Genomic DNA, 24,715 nt, shown 5'->3' with positions numbered 1-24,715 from the left:
TCCAAAACATTCTCATTTTGACATGTAAGCAATATAAAATTAATGAAATACTTTACATTCTTTTTCTTTTCAGACCACGCTTTAGAAATCTGGTGCATGTTCTACACTTAGAGCAGACCTCAGTTCAGACTAGCCACTTTTCAGGTGGCCAGTGACTACTACACTGGACAGTTGCAGCTCTAGAAAATCCACTCCCAAACCCCTAAGTGAACTACATACTCTATCAATTTGTAGCTTCTACTCTATCTCATTTGTACCATTGTTTCACAATTTGGATAGCATTAGAGTTAATAAATTTTATTTTAGCAACTCTGCTCCATGGGTAGTTTCTGAAATAAAAATACAAGCAAAAAAAAAAAAACTTTCCTAATAACACTGGTTCTACAGTATAAGCTCTCCCTCGAATGTCTAATAGAGCTTTCGTAGAAGTGAGTGTTCCTTGTAGGAACGGTGAGTCGAGACTGGAGGTAAGAACTAAGACGTTCTTAAACCCTACTACGTGCTGGAATCCTGAAGTGCCTGCCATCATTCAAACTTAAGCACTAACTCTCTAGAGAGACACTGCCATTCATACCACAGAACGAGAAGGCAGTGGCGATCCTCAACGGCTACATGTCACTGCCTGGTGAGCACTCTTCCCTCAGACCCCATTCCCAGAAGCTCTGCCTCGATTCCCCAGGGGTAGGCGAGCTGGCTGCCCGAATTCCTAAGCGTTACCGGGGAGATGTGAGGGCCTCCGGGGGCGGGAAACCTCAGGCCAGGCGCGCGCTGGCCCGCTCTACGGGGTCTCTCGGGAGCGCTTTGCAGGGCGGATGACTGACGGGCCAGCTACCTGCCTTCCTGAGCCTGCAGAGATAAACAGCCTATCCTCCCTGTGCACACAGGCCCCGAGGGCGGGCAGGTCTCCAAGCGCAGCACAACTGCCCCAGGCCCGACGCAGCCACCTGCCCGAGGGCTCCCTCCCCACCAGGCCATCCCTCAGCCGGTCCTCCTCCGACAGCGAACAAGGAACCCCGGAGGCGCGGAGGCGTCTCGCCGCCACCCGGCGGCGCCTGCCAGAGGCCCTTCGCGATGTCCGCAAGCAGAGAAAGCCCTGCCCTCCCAAGCCCCGGCTTCCCCTAGGCCCCTCGACACTTGTAGTGTCCTCACTTGCGGCCCCTGACCCGGGGCTGACCGGTTCGTGACTCTCCTGCCAATCAGAGACAGAGTTCTTCCGGCCAACCGGCCAATCACCGCGCGCGGGTGTCCGCTTCGGCTTTTCGGCCCTTCGGCTCTTCGGCTTGTCGGCGTTCGCGGTTGTTTGGCCATCCAGTGCCTTCAGCAGCGCCGCTAAAGCGCAGTTCTCGTTGGTGTAACTTTTTCTTTTTTTTTTCAGCCACTTCCGGCTCCTGCGTCGCTCCGGAAGCCTGCGAGTTCCGGAAGCCTTGGTAATCCAGATTCGGCTAGGAAAAGACAAGCTTTCCAGAGAATGTTTCAGAGAAAGTTACGTGGAGCGTGGGCGTTTCGCAGACTCCTAAGGTCAGTGTCTGCCCTAGAGAGCCGGAGTGCAAACCCGAGGTCTTGTTTTCAGCTGGGAGGTCGTGGAGTTTCACGACCTTGTAATTGTCGCCGTTTGCTTTTTTTTCCCTGTTTATTGGCTTCCTGTCTCCCTGGAAAAGGCAAATCAAAGCTGCTGAATTTTGGGAAAGGCAGTGAAGCAAACCTAAACTCCTAAAGATGTTTTTAGGATCGCGGCATTAAAAATAAACACACACACAGCTGCAGTTGAGCCCCTCTGCATTCCACGTAGTAACTTAAGAGACGAACTTCGAAATCTTTTTCTCTCATTTGGCGGTCGTGAAGATATTTACCTCTTATAAACGGCTTTATAAAGAATTGAGGATCCAAACTTTACTTAATATCTGAAAGTTCATGTAAAGTGTTATATGTAGTACAAAAAATTTGAGTGCTTAGTTTTCTAACACTGTTGAAAGCGCACGTAAATGCAGTTTGGTTTTCTTATGGAGGAAGAGATAATGAAAAGTTTCTGATAAAATTGCTTGCGATAAATTAGTTATATTTCACGTTGACTTTTGATAAGAAATCTGAATGTGAGAATTGTTAACATTTTTTCCTGGGTTCTTAAATTAAAAATCGTTGTTTGTTTATTTATTGAGGTACCATTTTCCAAATTTCCCACATTTAGTGAAAGGGCTTTTGGCAAAATGAGCAAGCTGTTGAACGTTCAAGTCTAACACATTCTGTTAAACTTCCGTGATGCCCCTCGGAAATATTTTATCTTGACGTTTCGGACAATTAAATGATACTTGGGCGCTCACAACACCGCAGCTTGTAGTCTAAACACCTTCCCCTAAAGTGTTACCTTTACTTAATCCTGAACAGAATGAACTTGGGGTGGCTCTTTTAACTTATCTGATCTCACCTATATTATCAATTACTTGTTTCCAGAAAGATTACAGTTGAGTGATCTTGAGCCAGAAAGAGATTTGAAAGAATTATTTACAGAGTCAAAAAAAAAAACCCTTCATATTTTTTTCTTAAAAAAAAAAATAGAAGTAACAGGACATAGAGCGAATACTAGACTAGTAGACTGAAGAGTATTAGACTAAATCAAGACAGTTGGATTCTAGTCCTGACTCTAGTTGCCTTTGTACAATTTTACCTCTTGGCCGTATTCTCCTTATTTTTAGAAACTAGTGTTAGTACTCAAGCTGGGGTTTTAAAACTGTTCCATAGGAGAACTTGTGTAGAAATTTTCTGGAGCCGTGCAGGGAGAGACAAAGCAAGCCCACCCTCAGGTTTATTTTAACAAGAGCAGCCATTTAGGTGTTCCGCTTGAATAACAAGGTTCTTGTTAAGAAGATTAAATTTATGTCTTAAACGAGATGATCTGCCTTTTCTTCTAGCATTAAAATTCTGGTTTTTGGGATAATTATTCATTTGTACTCAATGTACATTTATTACAGTTTTTAAAAATAATATATTCACAGCTAATTTATTTCTAAAAGCTACAAATATGTCCCTATTCTGTTTCAATTTATTTTATCAATACAAATTTGAAATGTTTTTCTTTATGAACAGAATTAGAATTTATTATTCCTTCTTCTCCATATCCTTTTATTTTAGCCATAAAAGTTTTGCTTATATTTGATGCACATAATGATTCTTGCCGTAGGGAGGACAAGTATTTTTCATTTTACATATTTGGTACCTGAACGTTAAAGGTATTAGCAGGCTTGCTCATCATCACACCCATTAAAAGAGCTCAGTCCTAGCCCCATGTTTTTCTCACAACATCAAATAATTGTAAGTTTCTTTCCCTCTTGCACACCATCCACATTCTCAGGTTCCAATAGCACAAGGAAAATGTGTGAATGTACACAATCTTTATTTCTGGCCAGAAGTTCTCTCTTGAATTATTTCATTTTTTCCTCTTTTGATGATCTGAGTTGGACAACCTAGAAGCAAATTGGATGTTCTCTGTACCTCTTTTCTGTGAAGTGATAACAGTTTGTAAATGTTTCATGTTCCTTTTCTATTCCTTTGGAATGTACAAGAAACCTCAGGAGAAAAGCCCTAAATTGCTCCATTTGCCCTGTCTGTAATCCTGCTCTTTTAAACCCAGCCCTGTAGTTTCTTTACATGGAAGTGGAGGCAAAGAAGGGATGTCTAGTGTCCTCTGCCTTTCTCCGTGTGGGATATTAGACTTCTTCCTAACATATTCCCATCTATACAATAAAAATACCTTCTTCTATGTTGCTTCTTACTCAATTTAATATATTTTCTTTTTATCAGACATCTCCCTTATTACTGCCTGTCAATAAGATGAGATAAAATTCCATCCAAGTTATCTTTTCTTTCTTCTTACTAGTAAAACAACCAAGAACTTAAGTGTAATGGTGTTTTGATTATGCCTAACCACTGTCTTTTCATTTTTTTGAGACAGAGTCTTGCTGTGTTGCCCAGGCTGGAGTGCAGTGGCACAGTCTCAGCTCACTGTAACCTCTGCCTCCCGAGTTCAAGCAGTTCTCCTACCTCAGCCTCCCGAGTAGCTGGGATTACAGGTGTGCACCACCACACTTGGCTAATTTTTGTATTTTTAGTAGAGACAGGGTTTCACCATGTTGGCCAGACTGGTCTTGAACTCCTCACCTTAGGCGATCTGCCCACCTCGGCCCACTTGTCTTTTAGTGTTAGATGAATGAGTTGGCATTACCTCTACCTTGCATGTATGTGTTCGTAATAGTTAATGTTCACACCTTGAGTTTTTCACTCATCTATTCCTTTTGTTCAGATTTGACATGGTTCTTTGAATGGTCCTTTGACCACATGTATAGTGAAGCAGGGAGAAGGAATATAGACAAAATACATCCCAAGCAACAAGGAAAACTTTACCTCATTCCTTTAATTTCTTTCCCCATCTACAGTCCTGACAGCTTGACTGGCAGTCTGGTCTTTTGAATGATCTTGAAGGGGAAAAAGATTTCTTTTGAGTTCTGTGGGATTAAATTTGATCCAAGCTTAGCAAATGTCCATTCTACTAAGTGTATTTTGTATGTTCTACAGTTTTTCTGATGTTTACCATAAATTTACTTATTACCAGCTTGACTTTAGATGGGTTGTTAATCTTCTCAAGCCTTAATTTTTATCTTCTTAAAATGGAGATGATAATACTGTACTTACTGTGTTGTGAGGATTAAATGAAATAAAGAATGTAAAGAAAAGTTGTAGTGCCTTGTACATGATATGTATCACATGGTAGTTCCTCCTATTCCATTGCTAATGGCTCTTTGTTCCTTTGGGGATATTTCCGTGTTCTCTTGTACCATAAAATGTGCAATTAAATGTTTGTTCCAGTTATTTTCAAGTCATTTAGAATTCTTAAGCAATTAGATTCTAAAGCCCATTTTTAAATTATTTATAGAGTATTTAAACATCTAGCTGCTCATACATTTCATGTGTGTCCTGTTCATACTCGCACTAGTGTTTTTCCCATAGTTTGTGCCTATACTCTTAGTACTTGGCCTCTTTAAGGTAGCCCCATCTGTGTGACCTGTGGTACCATCCTAAAGTGTTTATGTTTAACTTTTGGGTCCATTACCGCGTTGTCAGTATAGGACGCTGGTTTAGAGCTGGTTCTGCCCCCTCTGGTCATGGGATTTCACACAAGTCATCTAATCTCTTTGCACCTCAATTTCCTTGTTTTAGAACAGAAGTAATAACAGAAGCTCTTTATTAGTATTATAAGGATTAAATGATTTAATATTTAAATTTGTACTTGGTAATTAGCTATAGTAGTCACTTGTTAGCACTCAGTAACTGGTAGGTGTTAAGTGTTTTCTCTGGTTGTAAACTAACAAGTTCATTGGGATTGTCTTCCTTAGTGGTTTACTGTTACTCTCCATGAATACTGTCTCTGTCTCCTGTGTCCTGCTCTGATTTCTCTATTTTCCTCATGTCCTGTATTGCTCTTTTGCAATTGGAAATAGCTGTTCATTTTTTTCCCTTTCCCTTGCAAGATTTCCTAAAGCAGTTTCTATAAGGATTCTAGATAGGTAGGTAAACTTACAGTTGCTTTTTTTTGTTTCTTTTTTTAGCCAATGAAGAGTATAGTGTAATAAAATGACTTGTCTAGAGTCACACAATCTGTTAGTGAACCTGGGCTAGAATACAGAGCTAATCAGAGGCAGTTTAACTCTGCTTTCCCCAATACTCGCTCCAACATCTGTTCTTTATTTTCACAATAAGCATTCTCAGACTCAGAAGTATCAGGTTTCTGAAAGAAAAAAATATGAGTGCCATGCTGTTATCTTAAAAATATACTTATAAAGCTAGGCCCAAGTATTGGAAATTCTTTTCTAAGGTTTAAAAAAAGTATTTTGTGCTAGTTTTAGATACTTGAATAACTATATTGTGTATGAGATAAGTAAGGCACTCAGTTGATTGTGTAAGACTCAATATAATCTTGAGTTGTGTTGAGTTTCCTCTTCTCCCTAAATGCAAAAAAAAAAAGATATTTTCCCCTCTTCTAGGGCAGGTTACTTACCATTGTCCATATTTTTGAGAAATATGTGCAACTTTGAAGTTTATCTTTCAGATACATTTTAGAAATGTTTTGTCATGTATCCACTACCACTTCAAAAAGAAAAATCCTATTTGGATTTTGATGAGGCAATGTTCATTGAAGTTAAAAGTAATTTAGAGGTCTGTTGGACATAACACAGTTTTAAAATTTCACATATCTTGGCTATACCCAAATGAGCACAACTGGGATTTACAACATCAGGTGTCTATAAACTATTAAAACTTAGTTTATGTATGGTGAAAGAGAGGAACGAGAAAGTAGTGACAAGGCACTTAGCAAGTCTGTGACAGAAGCGGGATTTGAACTTAAGAGTTGTTAGGCCTGTTCACAGTGCCAGAGGTCACAGTGTTCTAATGGGCTTCAGCCATAGCCTTTTTTCTTTTGCCCATATTTGAAACGTGTTCTGGGAATCAGTGTCCAGTTAAATCCCTCTTTGATGCACGTCCCATTTATTAGTATTGATTTCAATACATTGGACAGTAAATCTATCTGACTACACAAAGGAAATAAAATAGTAGGTTATAGGTTCAAAACTTAAGATGTCTAGTCATAGAATTTTATTCATATAACCTCATAATATGAAATGCTAGTTTAACATTTTCAGAAAGAGAAAACAATGAACGTGGTCTCATCCACTTTGATTGCCAGAACATTTAAGATGGTGTGGCAGTGACATTTTCATTCTAAAACTTAGTTTATTATTGTGGAGATGGAAAAGAATAGCCTGGCAGGGGGTGCATGAGTGGGTATGACACAGTAGAGATTACTTGAGAATCACGTTTCTGCTGACAAAGTTTACAGGACTGTAAATTTAAATGCAGAATTTTGTAGACAGTATGCATTGACAAATATGCCTAATGGTAATACCTCTAATACTGAGAGTCTTGGAACAGGTCAATAATAATGTGTATATTGATAGCAGCGATGTAGGAGATGTTACATGGTATTATAGCTAAAATCCATGTTATCCCCTTAATCATAATTACGTTAATATTGACAGGCCCTTGACAATACCCACATTATTATTGATAGATTTCTGTCAATAACATGTTTTTAAAGAAAATATATTCATTCATAATTTGTACTATACTCAATAAAACTATAAAATACATCCTGAAACATTCCTTCTTCCTCAGTGAGATACAGTCATTTGTTTAGTTTTTGGAATGTGATATAGATGGCAAAGTTTTTATTTTGGGATATGAAAAACATAAAAGGAAAGCATGAGTTATTTAAGGGATAAGGTTATATATTGCTGCTCTTAGTAAATAATTTTTAGTTGTCTTTTTCTGTGAAAGAAAAGCAGTGTGACATGTTTAGTGATAAAATGTCAGCAGGAGACCCTTTTAATAGTTTTTAGTACTAGATCATTTTGTCTTAAACATATTTATGTGACAAGTTAATCACACGAACCCTAGTAGATGCTATACTTTTTATCTGGTCTTGATTTTGCCTTAAGCATCTTTTTCACATATCCTTAACATGGTAGAATCCTTCACTAAATGCTAAGATTATTTACTGCCAATTATAATTTTAGTTACATATTTTTATATATCTCTTTGCATAGCCAATAAATATCTCTCTCCCCTCCCCTGGGTTAGCATTTTGGAATCTTAAAGTTAGTATAGGTCGAGAATTGCAGGAGTGGGTGGCTGGTAGGATTGTGTATGAAAAGGTAGAATAGGAAAAATCTATTAGAATTAAATTTAATGGTGGTTCAATTCAAAGCAATTCTTTTTACAAAAAGCAGCTTGTAATTTTTAAAAATATTCAAGTTTGAGCTTACATTTATAAAACTAAATACTAATTTACAATGACCAATAATATAGAAATTGTTAAAGCTTACTTAAATGATTGAAGGTAAAGTCAAAATAGACTTACCAGTGGTTGGGCATGGGTGTTGGCAATCCTTGTAACAGAAGTAAGGAGAGTACTAGTTTACCAAAAGCACTGGGAATTTTTGACCCAAAAATGTGAAAGGATAGTATAGTCTTCCTCTTGATTTCCATGGTTCTTAAGTAAGTTAAATTACTTTGACTTTTCAGGGAAGTTGTTAGCATCATAGGTAGGCCCCTGAATTGTTGCAGGAATCCTATAAATCTGGTCTCCCAGAACGGCAGTTTTTCTTTTCTTCAGTTTTATTGAACTCTGCCGTCAGATTAATCTTTTGAAATTTATATCCCATTATGTCTCTTCTCTTCAATGATTATTCATGCCTACAGAATCAATACAATTTCCTTAACACAGGTTCTTTTTACAATGTGGCTAGGTTGACACTTCAGCCAGTCTCTCCTGCCAGCCTGCTTTGGTCATGACAGATGACTTGTCTCCTTCCAGATAACAGATGCAGCCACATTGACGGGGGTTAAATAACCAAGGATGTAGCTCATGGTGCAACTCATGTCCGTATGTCCCAGCTAGGCTATGGTCAGGAGCTTGCTATTTCTGGGCTTTCACACAGCCTGTTCCCTTGCCTTACATACCATTTTCCTCTTTTCTCCCTGGAAAGTTTTGTGATCTTTTATAATGTTTTCACGTTTTGGGATCCATTCTTCACTTCAGAGATCAATGGCCAGTCCTGATTTCCTATGTCTTTTAAAATGCTTGAATAAAAGGAAGCTAGCTGACAGTTAAATATTTAGATTGAATCTCTAGTACCTAGGAGAATGCCTTGTATTTGATAGGTGTCCAGTATATATTTGTTACATTGAGTAACCATTTGTCAGAGAATTAGAATTCACTAAAACACAAACTGCTTACACTATATTGGGAATAATTTTATGTGATATAAAGTCGTTTATGGCATTTATGCTTCATACCTATTATAACAAATCTTGTTGTACTGCTGTAGAGGGAAGAAGATTCCATAATTGGGTTAATTGAATTTCTAGTTATTTTGATTTCATCATTTTCTTCTACTCCTTTGCTGCCCTTTTCTAAAGAGAGTATTCTAGAATAGCTGTACCTGCCAGAAAGAGAGGAGTGGGGTGGGAGTATGTGTGATGAGGAAGAACTGAATGTAATATGCTGGTGATGAATACAAGTTTGTTGCTTGTCTTGGACTGCCTGTACCATGTTGTGTGCAGCAAAGCACCCTAGAGTCAAATATTGTAAGTGTGCATTCATGAGGTTTCTTTACTTCAAGATAACAGGCACAACTATGTTGATAGGGGCTAAATAATGACAGGAGCAGGTCATGCGGGAACCCATCTCTTTTCTCTATCCACACTGTGTCATATCCTTTCAGACAAGGTGCAAGTTAAGTGGGCAGTGAGTTCCACTGAACCATCATATCTCTGCCCACTCCTGCCTGGCCCCTCCCACGTGCACACATAAGGGTGACATTATGTTTGTGGTTTAACTGCCACAATTTATGTCTTAATGATGTCAATATTTCCTGGAAAAACATTTTGATACAGGTTGATTGAGGCATTACTATAACTAACAGTGAAGGTTTCAGTCTTTCGAAATGAGATTTGCCAAAATTAGTTTGGGGCCTGTTACTTTTCATGCTCATCCCTAGCCAAAGCAACAATAATGTAATAAATAATACTGCTTTATGGCTTCTAAACCACTTTCGTAACATTATCTGGTTTAATCTCAACAACTTTGTGAGGTAGCTGTTATTTCCAACTTTTAGGAGAAGAATCCGAGGCTAATGAAGTTTTTTAAGATCTCATAGCAAGTAAGTGACAGAGCTAGAACTTGAGCCCAGGCCTGTTTGATTTTAAATCTGCTTTTTCCACTCTGTGACAGATGCCTAAAGAAGAATGTAGAGCATGGGAGAAGTATTCCACTTTAATGAACTATGGTGTGTAATAGACAGTGTCTGTTCTATGTTTACAACTAAAAGAAGTCACAAAAATGACTAAAATGTTGGAAAATAAAACCTAAAACAAAAAATAGAGAGAAATTATTCATCTGGAGGAGCAAAGGCTGAAGAACAGTTTAATAATAGTCTTTTGGTCTATTAAAGAGTCTTACGTAGGGAGGAGAGCAAACCCAGCTGTTCCTAATCTACACTGAGGCCAGGCCTGGGGAGGAAAAGAAGAAAGAAAAAAATGTTAAACTGTAACAGAAGGGATAAGAAAGAATTTTTTGATAATAAATATTGTTAAATATTGTATTGGTTAAAGACCGTTTTAGGTCTCCTTTTCTGGCAGTCATTAAAAATTCCTGTTTTTACTGAATGTTTTTAAGTGTAATTCCTCCAAAAACAAGAAACTTGAAATAGATGATTCTTCTGACAAACCACTCACTCTGACCAGTTTCTCACTAAATATCACTAAGGAACCTGAGGAAGAGATGCAGTTATGAGTTGCTTATCAAGGGGGTACATTCTGAGAAACGCATAGTTTGATGATTTCATCATTGTGCGAACATCATAGGGTGTACTCACACAAACCTACTTGGTATAGCCTAGTTCACACCTCGTTATATTTTACTGTGCTTTCTTCTGGTTTGCAGATACTGCTTTTACAAATTAAAGGTTTGTAGCAAACCGAGTCAATCAAGTTTATCTGCACAATTTTTTTTCCAACAGCATTTACTCAACTTGGTGTCTCTGTGTAACGTTTAGGTAATTCTTGGCAATATTTCAGACTTTTTTTTATTATGATATTCTTAGTGGTGACCTGTGATCAGTGATCTTTGTTATTACTATTGTAACTGTTCTGGGGCACCACGAACTGTATCCATATAAGATGGTGAACTTATAAATATTCTGGGGCACCAAGAACTGTATCCATATAAGATGGTGAACTTAACAAATATTGGGTGTTCTGACTGTTCTGCTGACTTGCCTATTCCCTAAGACACAACAATGTTGAAATTAGGCCAATTAAGATAAGCCTACAATGGCCTCTTAAGTGTTCAAGTGAAAGGAAGGGTTGTACATCTCTCACTTTAAATCAAAATCTAGCAATGATTTTGCTAGATTTTGCTAAGCTTAGTGAGGAAGCCATGTCAGAAGCCAACACAGGCCAAAAGGTAGACCTTTTATACCAAACAGCCAAGTTGTGAATGCAGAGGAAAAGTTCTTGAAGGAAATTAAAAGTGATCCTCCAGGGAACACATGAATTAAAGAAAGTGAACAGCCTTATTGCTGATGATGTGGGACAAGTTTTAGTGGTCTAGATAGAAGATCAAACCAGCCACAAAATTCCTTTAAGCCAAAGCCTAATCCAGAGCAAGTTCCTAACTCTCTTCAATTCTTTAAGACAAAGAGGTGAGGAATCTGCAGAAGAAAAGGTGGAAGCTAGCAGAGGTTGGTTCGTGAGATTTAAGGAAATAACCATTTATGATATAAACATGAAAGCTGAAGCAGCAAATGCTGACATCAGAGCTGCAGCAAGTTATCCAGAAGCTTTAGCTAAATAATTGATGAAGGTGACTACGCTAGACAATATATTTTCAAGATAGACAAAAGGCTTATATTGGAAGAAAATGCCATGTAACACTGATAGCTAGAGAGGAGAAGCCAATATGTGGCTTCAGAGCTTCAAAGGACAGGCTGACTCTCCTGTTGTGGGTTAATGTAGCTGGTGGCTCTTAAGTTGAAGCCAGTGCTTATTTACCATTCTAAAAATTCAAAGACCCTTAAGAATTATGCTAGAACTACTCTGCCTGTACTTTATAAATGAAAAAAACAAAGCCTGGATGACAGCACATCTGTTTACAGCATGGTTTACTGAATATTTTAAGCACACAGGTGAGACTTGTTCAAAAAAAATTATTTCAAAATATTACTGCTCATTGATATGCACCTTAGTCACCCAAGAGCTCTGACGAAGATGTACAAGGAGATTAATGTTTTCATGCCTGCTATCACAGCATTCATTCTGCACCCCATGGATCAAGGAGTAATTTTGACTTTTATATTTTTTTTTTAAGAACTACATTTCTTAAGCCTGTAGTTGCCAATAGCAATTTCTCTGATGGATCTGGGCAAAGTAAATTGAAAACCTTCTGGAAAAGATTCGCCATTCTGTGTACCATTAAGAACATGATTCGTGAGAGAAGGTCAACATATCAACATGAACAGGAGTTTGTAAGAAGTTGATTCTAACCATTGTGGATGACTTTGAGGAGTTCAAGACTTCAGTGGAGGAAGTAACTACAGATGTGATAGAAATAGTAAGAGAGCTATAATTAGAGTGGAGCCTAAAGATGTGACTGATTTGCTACAATCTCATAATAGAACTTGAATTGATAAGGACTTGCTTCCCCTCTTTTTTTTTTTTTGAAACGAAGGTCATGCTCTGGCACTCAGGCTGGTGAACAACAGCACAGTCAGCTCACTGCAGCCTCTCAATCTCCTGGACTCAAGCAACTCTCCTGCGTCAGCCTCCCCTTAGTAGCTAGGACTACAGGTGCATGCCAGCACGCCTGGCTAATTTTTTTTTTTTTTTTTTTTAGTTTTTGTAGAGACAGTGTCTCCCTGTGTTGCCCAGAAATCCTCCCTTGGCCTCCCAAAGGGCTGGAATTATAGGCATGAGCCACTGCACCCAGTGAGTTGCTTCTTATGGATAAGCAAAGAAAGTGGTTTCTTGAGATGGAGTTTATACCTGGGGAAATGCTGTAAACATTGTTGAAAAGATAGCAAAGGATTTAGAATATCCCATAAACTTAATTGATAAAGCAATGGCAGGGTTTGAGACTGTTGACTCCAGTTTTGAAAGAAGGTTTACTCTTGGTAAAATGCTATCAGAAAGCTTCGCATGCTACAGAGAAATCTTTCATGAGATGAAGAGTCAATCCATGCAGCAAACTTTGTTGTTGTTATAAGATATTGCCACAACCACCCCAGCCTTCAGCAGTCATCACCCTGATCAGTCAGCAGGCATCAACATCAAGGCAGGACCCTCCACTATCAAAAAGATTATAACTCACTGAAGGCTCAGATGGTTGTTAGCATTTTTTAGCAATCAAGTAATTTTTAATTAAGGTATGTACATTGTTTTTAAGGCACAGTGCTATTGCACACTTAATAGACTGCAGTATAGTGAAAATATAAGTTTTATATGCACTGGAAAACCAAAAAAGTTGTGTAACTTACTTTATTGTGATATTTGCTTTATTGCAGTGGTCTGGAACCTAACCTGCAGTGTCTCTGAGGTATGCCTGTTTTCTTATGTGATTCTGATGAAGTCACAAGTTTGAAAACCACTAGACTAGAGGAGCAGAGACCACAGGACTGTGATGGTGAAGACCACAGTTTAGAAGGATTAAAAGCCCAGAGATATATGTATCTTTATCATAGACACATATATCTGTTAGCAGTTAAAAACTACCAGAATAAGATTACGTTGTTACAAAGAAAGTTGAATGTGTTACAAATAGACAAGATCTATCTTGTTTTAAATCACTGCCTTCTTGATTTTAGCACTTATGTAGATCAAGTAGATTTAAAATAGATTAGTTTTACCAGAGGGGCATCAGACTTCTAAAATTCTACCCAGATTTTTTCTGTCATATTTACATAACTGCCTACTGAACTTTTCCACTTAGATGTCTCATAGGATCCTCAGATGTTTAAAATTGCATGTATATATTTTCTTTCTGTTCAAACCTGTATTGCCTCGTGTATTTCTTGTTTCAGGGACTTGGATCACTATCACTCAATTACTTAAGTCAGTTTTTCTTGGCTTATTTCTCTCCAGATAGTGTCACTTCTACCACCTCACCGCTGTCAAAGATAACCCTTTTCTCTCTGTCCCCATTGATACTTTTCTAATTTAGGCCATCATTAGTTTCTCACTAGATCATTTTAACAACCTGTTAACTCGTCTCTATGCTTCCAGTCTTTCTCTCAGCCTCTATTCCATTCTTGCTCAGGGTGGCCAGAACAAGTAGTCTAAAATGTAAATCTTACTAGTTATTTGCGTACCACTATTGGGGGCTTCCCGTTACCTTCCTCATAAAATACAGCCTCCTCAGCTTGGCTTCTAGGGCCTTTAGGACCTGTCTCCTGCTTCTTTCCAGCCTTATCTCATCTGTGCACCTCTAGTCCTTAGTACCTACTCTTCTCACCATTGGCAATAGTATTCTTACCCTCCTTTACCAGGCTGACATGCTAATATCAGGTGGCTGCTTAGGTATTGCCTCTCCCAGGAAGCCTTCTCTGACCTTCTGAAGTATAGTTGTAACCATAGTGCCCTGAATTTTCCCTTGCATATCACTGATCGCACCTTATTGTAATCACCTGTTTATTTTATATAGCACACCTTTACTTTTCTCTCTCGTTCCACAACCCTCCACAAGGGTTGAAAACAGTGTCTGTTGTACCATTATATCACTAGCTCTCATATTAACAGGTAAATAACAGATGCACAATAAACATGGTGAAATTAGTAATAATCATCTTTCTGGATATGGTAATTTGAAATAGTTTTAAAGGGTAATGGATGGGAATTGATATTTTCTATCCTTCACACATCCCAGACTTTCATCCTATTCATTTATTCATTTATCTAGTGTTTGTAGAGTGCCTTCTGTGTACCAGGAACTGAGATAGTTGTTCTGATTCAACTGTGATAAGGCTCAAATAATCTTCACAACAGGCTCATCCTCTAGTGGAGGAAATAAACCATTTAAAAGTAGTTTATGTACAGTACATAGAGGCCAAGAAAGGGAAAGAATAGAGTGCCAAGGGAACAACTAGATGGGCAGCAACCCAAATTTGGAGTCAGCAGGAAGTGATGTCTGAGCCAGTACTTAAAATCTTAGTATGAGTTTTCAGTTAAAAGATTGGAAACGGACTGTTCCACACAAAGGGAACAGACAGTGAAGTCTACTGGTGAACAGGAGAAGGGGGTACTTTTTGACTGGATGTGATGCGTAAGGAAGGAAAGCAAGCTGGGAGTGGATTTGGGGAGGTTTGTGTTTTAGAACACTGGCAGTGTGGAGAATGCACTGAAGGAGGCAGAAGGTAAGGTAGACCAGTTTGATGGAATCCATGAGAGAGGAGAGCAGCCAGAATTCAGGAAAAGGCTTGCGGGGGATAGGGAGTGACAGATGGGTTAGGAAAAATTTTGGACCACGTACCAACAGTCCTTGGCAATGGATTTGATTTGTAGAGTGAGGAAAGGGAACTCCCTTTTAAACTTTATTCTTTTTTGTATGTAGCTTCTGGCAAGTATGAGGCAAGGATTTCACAGAAGAACTTGGAGCAAAAATTCCCACTGTCATAGCTATAGGCTGTCCAGTCTTGAGGGAGCTGCAGGAACAGGAAAAAGGTGAGATCTCCCCAGAAGATCATTGGCATTTATGGTGAGAAGCATTCCTGTTGTATATCTGGTTTGAGAGAAAAATAGCTCCAAACAACCTGTTATTCATTGATCATTTTTGTTTCCTGGACTTGAACTTGTTAAACATGTAGTCTTCTGCCACTAAGTCTTCTAGGATGCATGGGTAAATTTAGAACTTCCCTCTTGAAAACAACTTTGGTTGTCAAAGATACTCCCAATTTCAAGAAGTACAAGTTTACTTTACCTTCTAATAAATTGTGTTTATCATCTTTTTACTAAAAATCATAACAGAGTAGAATTTGAAAGGACTTTGAAGGTCATTTTATCTCCAGCCCTTTGTTTTATATGTGAAGAAACCAAGGCATAGGTCAGGGTCAGGGGAAATGACTTGTCGAAGAATATGTGACCAGACCGTGGCAGTGAGCTCCAGCAGGATCCATGCCTCCCTCAGTAACTATTCTTTCTGTTAGGGTATTGGCTTTTTAAAGGCCTAGACATGATAATCAAGCCCGGTGTGGTGATAGCCCATTTTAATTTTTTTGTGTTTTTTTCCCCTAGCTTTATTGGAGTATAATTGGCAAGTAAAAATGGTATATATTCAAAGTGTGCAATGTAATGATTTCATATATGTATCCATTGTGAAATGACTGCCACAATCAAGTTAATTACATCAATCACCACCCGTAGTTACTTACCACCTGTGTGTATGTGTGTGATGAGGACACTTCAGATTTGCTCTTGGCAAATTTCAAAGAAACAATAGAGCATATTAACTATGCTATTCTGGACATGAGTTCCTCAGAACTTACTCATCTTATAACTGAAAATTTGCACCCTTTGACTAATATCTCCCATTTCTCTCACCCTCCCAGCCCCTACCAACCACCATTTTACTCTCTGTTTCAATAAGTTTGACTTTTTTAGAATCCACATATAAATGAGATCATACTGAGGTCCATTTTAGCAACTAAATTTAAGCCTCATTTTTTTTTTTTTTTTGTCATGGGTGGATTTGCCAGTTAATAATATTTAAAATATCTGAACTGGTCTATATACTGGATTATGGCAGTGACTTGGTGTTTTAATTATATCAGCTTGCACATAATACATATTTATAATAATATATGTGTATTGAATCAGTAAGCTGTACCTAGCTAACCATTCAGCTTCTTATATTTCATTTAAATTTTTTTCCCTTTAGCACCAATTTGTTTCCTTAGTCTATTTATGGCATTATTGTGGTATATATTTTTATATCATAGTTTTCTTAGAGTACTGTGTGATATATACATTTTTAGTACCTTAATAATGATATTTCTGCATTCTTGTTCCTTCATACTAAGATTTAGTACTATTTATTTTCGGCAATAGCGTGATAGAATAGTAACCATGTATTGTTCATTTAGTTTTCTTTTTAACTTCCTTTACACATATAAAATGTATTTGAGAAAGATTAAATGACTTGCTGAAAAAATAACACCTTTGGAGTCAGTAGTAGTGCTGGAAAATAAACTGAGGTCTTGACTTAACCATCTATTGCAATGTTCTATATAGTTGTTGTATTTATTACCTTCCTGTATCTCTTCATTAGTCATGTTATTCAGCCTCCTTTCTGTTAGCTTCAGGATTTTAATGTCTCCCTGCTAGAATATCTGACCAAAGAGTATTGCTTAGAAGTATATTTGTGGAAAGAGGGTACAGTTTTGTTTTGTTTTGTTGTTATTTCTTTGATGAAGAGGGTCAAGAAAAAAGAAAAAGAAATTAAGAAAAAAAGGCAGGGGGAGAAAGAAAGGCTCTGAGAGACGAGACAGAAGTTTCAAGTAAGAAGTGATTATTCGCTGTACTATTTGAGACTACTGAAACGCTCATCGCCTATGTGTCCTGTGTAATTTGTGTATGACAGTTTCCAGGCATAAGTTGAGGAGGTTGTACAAGATTGCAACTCTTTGCTAATGTTCTTCAATTGTATTTTTTCCTAGAGACCTTCAGAGAAGACATGGCTTCCAGAAAAGAGAATGCGAAGAGTGCAAACAGAGTGCTAAGAATAAGCCAGTTGGATGCACTTGAACTAAACAAGGCCCTGGAGCAGCTAGTTTGGTCCCAGTTTACTCAGTGCTTTCATGGATTTAAACCTGGGCTGTTAGCTCGCTTTGAGCCAGAGGTGAAAGCGTGCTTATGGGTTTTCTTGTGGAGATTCACCATCTACTCCAAAAATGCCACAGTGGGACAGTCAGTTTTGAATATTAAGTACAAAAATGATTTTTCCCCTAACCTGAGATATCAGCCACCCAGTAAAAATCAAAAAATCTGGTATGCTGTTTGTACAATTGGTGGCAGGTGGTTAGAAGAACGATGCTATGATTTGTTTCGAAACCATCATTTAGCATCATTTGGGAAAGTCAAGCAGTGTGTGAATTTTGTGATTGGACTTTTGAAATTAGGTGGGCTGATTAATTTTTTGATTTTCCTTCAGAGGGGAAAGTTTGCAACTTTGACAGAACGTCTCCTAGGTATTCATTCTGTATTTTGCAAGCCTCAAAACATATGTGAAGTTGGCTTTGAATACATGAATAGGGAACTTCTCTGGCATGGTTTTGCTGAATTTCTGATTTTTCTCTTACCACTTATCAATGTCCAGAAGTTGAAAGCCAAGCTGTCTTCATGGTGTATTCCTCTTACTGGTGCACCTAATAGTGACAATACATTAGCCACCAGTGGCAAAGAATGCGCTCTATGTGGAGAGTGGCCCACCATGCCTCACACCATAGGATGTGAGCATATTTTCTGTTATTTCTGTGCTAAGAGTAGTTTCTTATTTGACGTGTACTTTACTTGTCCTAAGTGTGGCACAGAAGTACACAGTCTGCAGCCACTGAAATCAGGAATCGAGATGTCAGAAGTAAATGCTCTTTAGAAACTAAAATTGCTTCCTTTGAGGAAAAAAATGCACCGTGTTTAAATTCTTAATATTAGTCATCCTAAGTATACCATTTATGTATCCTTTATAAGGAATGTGCTCCTAGCCACTGTCTTCTCCTTTCCAGGCATGACTGAAATCTAATCACTGGAAACCATGTGATTCTAAATATATTATGTAAATGTTAATGTATTATGTTTTTTAAATCATTGCATTCAATTTTTAATGTCAAGAATAATGGACAGCTTTTGTCAGGTGACTACTAACAATGCTCCTTCATTTTACTACTTCTTAAAACAAGGTTGGATTCTAAAGATAAAGATTTTGGAGACTCTGGGATGAGTGTGCATTTATTTTCAGAGTTGACATAATATGATAATGTGACAATTATGAGACTGTTTTAAACCTTAAGACCTGATGCCTCAGTTGTAACTTTTTTTTTTTTTTCTGAGACGGTGTCCTGCTCTGTCACCCAGGCTGGAGTGCAGTGGCGCGATCTCTGCTCACTGCAACGTCCGCCTCCCGGGTTCAAGCAATTCTCCTGCCTCAGCCTCCCGAGTAGCTGGCACTGCAGGTGCATGCCACCATGCCCGGGTAATTTTTGTATTTTTAGTAGAGATGGGGTTCACTGTGTTAGCCAGGATGGTCTCTATCTCCTGATCTGGTGATCCACCTGCGTCAGCCTCCCAAAGTGCTGAGATTACAGACGTGAGCCACTGTGCTTGGCCGCCTCAGTTGTAATGTTATGCTTTTCTCTGAAGCCAATTTTTAAGAAGTTCAGTCCTCAGCTGTCTGACCCCTCCACAGTTGGCTTTATATTCAGAAAGTAAAAATTACTTAAGGCAGCTTGGAAGTGAGGCCTGGGAACTACTGGGGGCAACTAGTATGAACAGCACTATTTACAGGTCTCTTTCTCTTGCCTTTGATTCAGAGCTGTCATTCTCAGTAAATATTGATAGTTTTATTGAAACAAAAGGGGTCTTTAGCATGGGAATAGTAACAGCAGTGCATAATCAAGATAATTCTGTATCCTTCACTCTTTTTCTCTGCCTTTTTTTACTTAAAAGTAAATTCAGACTCTTAAAATGGTATAGAATTATTAGCTTGAACATTGAATTATCTCGTCTTAACTAGAATGTTTTTTAAAAAACAGTTTTTAAATGTTTTTAAATAAACATCTTGCTAGTATGATGGAAATACACTGCCAGTTCATTTTTCTCTTCACCTTTCATTGAACAAGTACTCAGGTGCCAGGTACTGATGTAGCCATTAGAGGCACAACAGTATATTAAGCAGGAAAAATCAAGTTACCTTCATGGAGTTTACATTCTGTGATTGAATGAACTGTAAGTTTAATTTAGGTTCAATTTAGTGTAAGATACTGAAGAAGTTTTGTAGTTTGAGTTAAGAGTATTTTACATCTTAAGAATTTGCCTTCTTTTGCCTTCTGTAATTTTAAAACATTATTGTAGAAAACACCAACAATTCAGGAAAAAATATAAAATCAACTTTCCCACAATTTTTTGAGAGAGATCATCACTATATTTTACTATATTTGTAGATTTGTTGCACGTACATTTCTTATTTACAAAATTATTATAATGCATAAAAAATAGCATTTTTTCCTATGTATAAATATTCTTCAAAACTATTTTAGGGCTGAGCACAATGGCTCATGCCTGTAATCCCAGGCTCCCTACTTAGGGAGGCTGAGCCCAGGAGTTTGAGTTCGTTTCTAAAAAAATAAAAATATATACAAACGTCTTTGTTTTTTGTTTGTTTGTTTGTTTTTGGTGAGAAAGGGCCTCACCCAGTCACCCAGGTTGGAGTGCAGTGGTGTGATCATGGCTAACCGCAGCCTTTCCCTCCCAGGGCTCAAGCGATCCTCCCATCTGAGCCTCCCAAGTTGCTGGGACCACAGGCCCATACCACCATGCCTGGCTAATTTTTGTAGAGATGAGGTCTCACTTTGTTGCCCAGGCTGGTCTTGAACTTCTGGGCTCAAGCAGTCCTCCTACCCTGGCCTCCCAAAGTTGTGGGATTACAGGCATGAGCCACTGCACCCAGCCATAATATATTTTTAAAATGCTATGTATATGCCATCATATTCCTATTCCTATTATTATTTAACCACCATCATAGAGCATTTAGGTTCTTTTCACTTTCTGTTGTGAATAATGCAATGTTGAATCTGAGTTCATTAAGTGAAGAGTCCAGCTGCACACTGCAGGCCCAGTCTGGATGTAGGTGCTCAGATGGTTCTCTTTGAGACAGGCTTTATCCTTTGGCTCTCATTTTTTTGATGAGTGTACATGGCATGAGGGACACAGATTCCGCTAGAATTCAAATCCCACTTGTGTATAACCTAGGGCAATGTGCCACATCTCTGCACATCTGTTCATTGTAAGGATTACATGTTTAGTGTATATAAAGCTCTTAAAACAATGCCTGACACATAGTAAATAGAATATAATAGTAGTGCTTTCCTTTGCTGTTGTCAGTATTACTCTGAGTCGGTTTCATTCTCACACAGAATGATGGCCGCTAGAAGCTCAAGGCTTATAATCTGCTAGCTTTCTGATCCCACTGGCATGAGATACTCTTGCCTAATAGTTACAGCTAAAGTCCAGGAGCTCACTGTTACTGGTCTGCCTTGGATTATGTGCACATTCCTGAACCAGCCACTATAGCTAGGGGATGGAAAATACTGTTCCTGGTTACTTAAATGTAGGTGATGCTCCTCCCATATACCACATGAACCTAAAGGAGTCCTGGAGGAGGCCGTTCACCACAGGAAACTGAGGTGTTCTTAGAAGGGTGGATGCTGGCAGATCTCTACTAGTTAGAGTCTACATTTGCCTTACTCATTTCAAAAGTCCACATTGCAGTCTCATTTTACCAGTGATCTAGCTTGATAAGGACATTCATAAGTAACTGGATGATTCTTTAACATTGCAGATTTGAAAGGATTAAATAAAGTCAACAAAATTGTTATATCAACAATTGTATTATTTTGATAGAGTAACTTCTAAGTAGTTATCCATATTCTCAAAATCTTAAGAAAACAGTACTTTACATATATGCCAGCTGATAGACTTGTCAGTATTGGGGTAGGGGGTGGTTTTTTTCCACAGACCCTAATGGCACTTAGTAAAAATAGGTTTTTATTATTTTTCATTTTTATTTAACATCTGCCACCCCTACTAGGTGATAACCCCCATGAGTTCAGAGACCATGACTATTTTGTTCATCACTAGATAGCCAGAGCCTTTTAGTTCTAGTGTAGCAATAGAAACATTTTATTAGCTGAATAAACCTAAGGTCGCAGATAGGGTTCTGCAGAAGCTGGCGTTGAAAGGGGTTTGAAGTACAAGAGATTTTTATGTATAACTCTCAGGGATCCATGCCTGTGAAGGGAAAGAGCAAAGCAGGAATAGGCAGAAGAAATGAGAGTACTCTAAAGCAGGCCTGAAAAAAGTTGGCCAGCCCAGAGGGGAGCTCTGAGCTAGTGTCATCTGTCAGAATGTCCTAAATTAGGCCAAAGTAAATAGGCCTTTTTACCTACACTTCTGTCAGTCACTGGGTGTGGGCAGCTCTGGGAAGGTTGTGATCTCAAGCATGGCAGCTCTGTAGCGGAAGCAGATCCTGTGGGAGCCAACAGCTGGAGGCAGTCCACTGACCACATTCCACAGCTGGGCACCATGTACATCCTTGCAGGAGGAGCCAGGTGGCATATCTTGGTGTGTACCACATCTAATACTGTCCATTTTTTCCTTTCTGGTTTCCTTTTTTTTTGTTTTTCTTGCATATAGTACACTGGACAAACAACACACTAATGCCAGGTAGTGTTCGTTTATAAACAATAGATTTATGACTGACACACCCAAGTGTCTCTTGAGTATCTCTGCCCCACTACAAATACCAGACTTCTTGGCCAAGTTGCTATGACAGCCCCCAGGAACTCCATTCAGTCTCTGCCTCTCTGGGCACTGCCAGAAGAGTTGCTATACCTCTGGTGCGACTGTTTCTACTCCCCAGCAGGCTCCAGGCTCAAGCTTTAGGAAAACTGGATGGGATTTAGCTACATGATATGTTTCCATGTTAGCCTCAAGTATGTAACCATCAGTTACAAGTGTTCTTCCTTAGGAAAATAAAAACATTTACACTTAACATTTTTCTTTTCTCTCCCTTGCACTTGCTCTCAAATCAAGTTTGCTACTTTTGTATTTAAAGTACCCAAGTGACTTCAGTGATCATATCTAAATTACTCAGATATCAATCAGAGCTCACACAAGGCATGTCCTACTACTTTGCTCTCAGCTCCCCTGCTTTCAGTATTTAGTGACTGGATTTGGGACAAGTTCATTTAACTTAAGATTCAATTTGTTCACCTATGAAATGGACATTCAATAATGTCTACCTGTTAGAATTCTAATGGGAATTAAATAAAGCATTCTCTCAAAAATTATCTATTGAGCCCCTGCAGACATTCCTTTTCCGTACTCAGGGAATGCATTCATGAATACCACAAAACACCTGCTCTCATGGAGTTTACATTCTTAGAGGGGTGATAAATAATAAAGATAATTTCAAATGTTAGTAGTACTCTGAAGAAAATAAAACAGGCTTTGAAATGGGGAGTGATAGGGGTTGCTGTATTGAATTGTGTGCTTGTGGAAGGCCTCTCTGAGGTGATACTTAAAAAGAGATATGAAGGAAACGGAGAAAGCCAAGCAGAAAAGGGGTGCTAGGGTAAGGAAATGGCTGCGCCCAGTCTCTGAGATGAGTCTTACCTTTTTGAGGAACAGCAAGAAATCCCAGTGAACCAGAGAAAGAGGTGGGAAATGAGGTAGGCGAGGTGAGGTCATGCAAGCCAGGGGGAAAATACCTGGATTTATTCCAGCTCTGAGGAGGCCAGAGGAGGATTTTAAGCAGAGATGTGACATGATCAGATTTACATTTTTAAGGGATCACTCTGGATAATTTGTGCAGAGGTATGAGTCAAAGCAAGAAAACCAGGTCAAAGGCTATTGCTAACAGTCAACATGAGCCATGATTGTTATTTCCATTAACAGTATCACTGAAATGGTCTGCAATCTGAAATAAAGCCTGAAGAAACCTAAATAGATTTTAATAGATTCTATCACCAAAGCTATACTCATGGGACAGTTTCTCAAGTCTCCAGTAAGAGGCTGCTTTATTTTGAATAGAATTCTAATCAACTTTCACCAACAGATTAAAAATAACAGACGAAAGAGAAGAGGAAAACTGGTAAAAGCAAGCATGGTTTACCATAACAAGCAATAATGAACAACTTGGTATCAAAGAAGAAAAACTTAAAAACAGAGTTTAATCTGGTATCATTTAGAGTGGGACACACAGGCTCTGAGGACTAACTGTGAATAGTAATTGTGGTTTTAAAAAATGACCTTGTATCATCAATGAAATCTACCCTATATTCTGTTTGATTTGGTTAAGAAGGCAGAAATTAGTATTGCTCTGTTCGAGAAGCCTTCAAAATGGGATGGCACTTAGAGGCAAAAATTTGGTTTATTTGAAACATTCAGTTTTAGCAAAAAACATTCAGTAAGCGTTGTTACTGTTTAAGACAAGATCTTTTTCAGCAAGAAAACAGTTCTAAACAAGCTTTTTAGCCAAACCAATTGGCCATATTGTATATACAACTGATGATCCATGGTCCTCTGCAGCTAGAACTACTATGTAGTCTACATTTATACTCATCACCACAAATAAGTTAGCAAACATTTTTCTTTGGTAAAAAAAAAAATTTCTGTCTGGGCACGGTGGCTCACACCTGTAATCCCAGCACTTTGGGAGGCCAAGGCAGGTGGATCACTTCAGGCCAGGAGTTGAAGACCAACGTGGCCAACATAGCAAAACCCCATCTCTACAAAAAAAAAAAAAAAAAAAAAAAAAAGCCAGGTTTGGTGATGCATGCCTGTACTCCCAGCTACTTGGGAGGCTGAGGCAGGAGAATCACGTAAACACAGGAGGCAGAAGCTGCAGTGAGCTGAGATCAAGCCACTACACTCTGTTGCCAGCCTGGGCAACAGAGCGAGACTCTGTCTTAAAAAAAAAAAAAAAAATTCAACTTTTATGTTTAGGGGGTACCGTGTGCAGATTTGTTACCTGCATATATTACATGATGCTGAGGTTGAGCATAGTGGATCCTGTCACCCAGGTAACAGGTGACAGGGTATTGAGTATAGTACCCAATAGTTTTTTTTCCAACTCATACCCTCTTTGTCTCTCCCTACCTAGTAGTCCCCAGTGTCTATTATTGCCATCTTTATGAATACTGGTTGTTTAGCTCCCACTTATAAGTGAGAACATGTGGTATTTGGTTTTTTGTTCCTGCACTAACTCACTTAGGATAACAGCCTACAGCTGCATCCATGTTGCAAATAACATGATTTTGTTCCTTTTTATGGCTGCATTGTGTTC

At 38.6% G+C, this 24,715-nt stretch overlaps 1 protein-coding gene across 4 annotated transcripts, besides 1 other annotated feature; it reads left to right on the top strand.

The window, feature by feature from the left end:
* Positions 464–21,250, top strand: PEX2 (peroxisomal biogenesis factor 2). Of its 4 annotated transcripts, NM_001172086.2 has the most exons (5): positions 464–625; positions 1,376–1,518; positions 13,170–13,201; positions 15,212–15,321; positions 17,313–21,250. In NM_001172086.2, exon 5 carries the CDS (start codon positions 17,330–17,332, stop codon positions 18,245–18,247), a length of 918 nt encoding a protein of 305 aa, NP_001165557.2. In that variant the 5' UTR covers positions 464–625; positions 1,376–1,518; positions 13,170–13,201; positions 15,212–15,321; positions 17,313–17,329; the 3' UTR covers positions 18,248–21,250. The 4 variants fall into 4 exon arrangements, with proteins under 4 accessions (NP_001165557.2, NP_001165558.2, NP_000309.2 ...); NM_000318.3 differs by lacking the exon at positions 464–625 and having other exon boundaries at positions 1,430–1,518; NM_001172087.2 differs by lacking the exons at positions 13,170–13,201; positions 15,212–15,321.
* Positions 1,141–1,435: an enhancer, noted in NCBI's record as "tiled region #11833; HepG2 Activating DNase unmatched - State 1:Tss, and K562 Activating DNase matched - State 1:Tss". NCBI's record gives its function as "activates a minimal TATA promoter and a strong SV40 promoter by Sharpr-MPRA in HepG2 and K562 cells {active_cell/tissue: HepG2 | K562}" and the evidence as "EXISTENCE:reporter gene assay evidence [ECO:0000049][PMID:27701403]".

The sequence above is a fragment of the Homo sapiens genome, chromosome 8, assembly GCF_000001405.40.
Source record: "Homo sapiens chromosome 8, GRCh38.p14 Primary Assembly".
Lineage (NCBI taxonomy): Eukaryota > Metazoa > Chordata > Mammalia > Primates > Hominidae > Homo > Homo sapiens.
The sequence above is the reverse complement of the archived record's forward strand: the minus strand, read 5'-3'. Positions and strand labels throughout refer to the sequence as shown.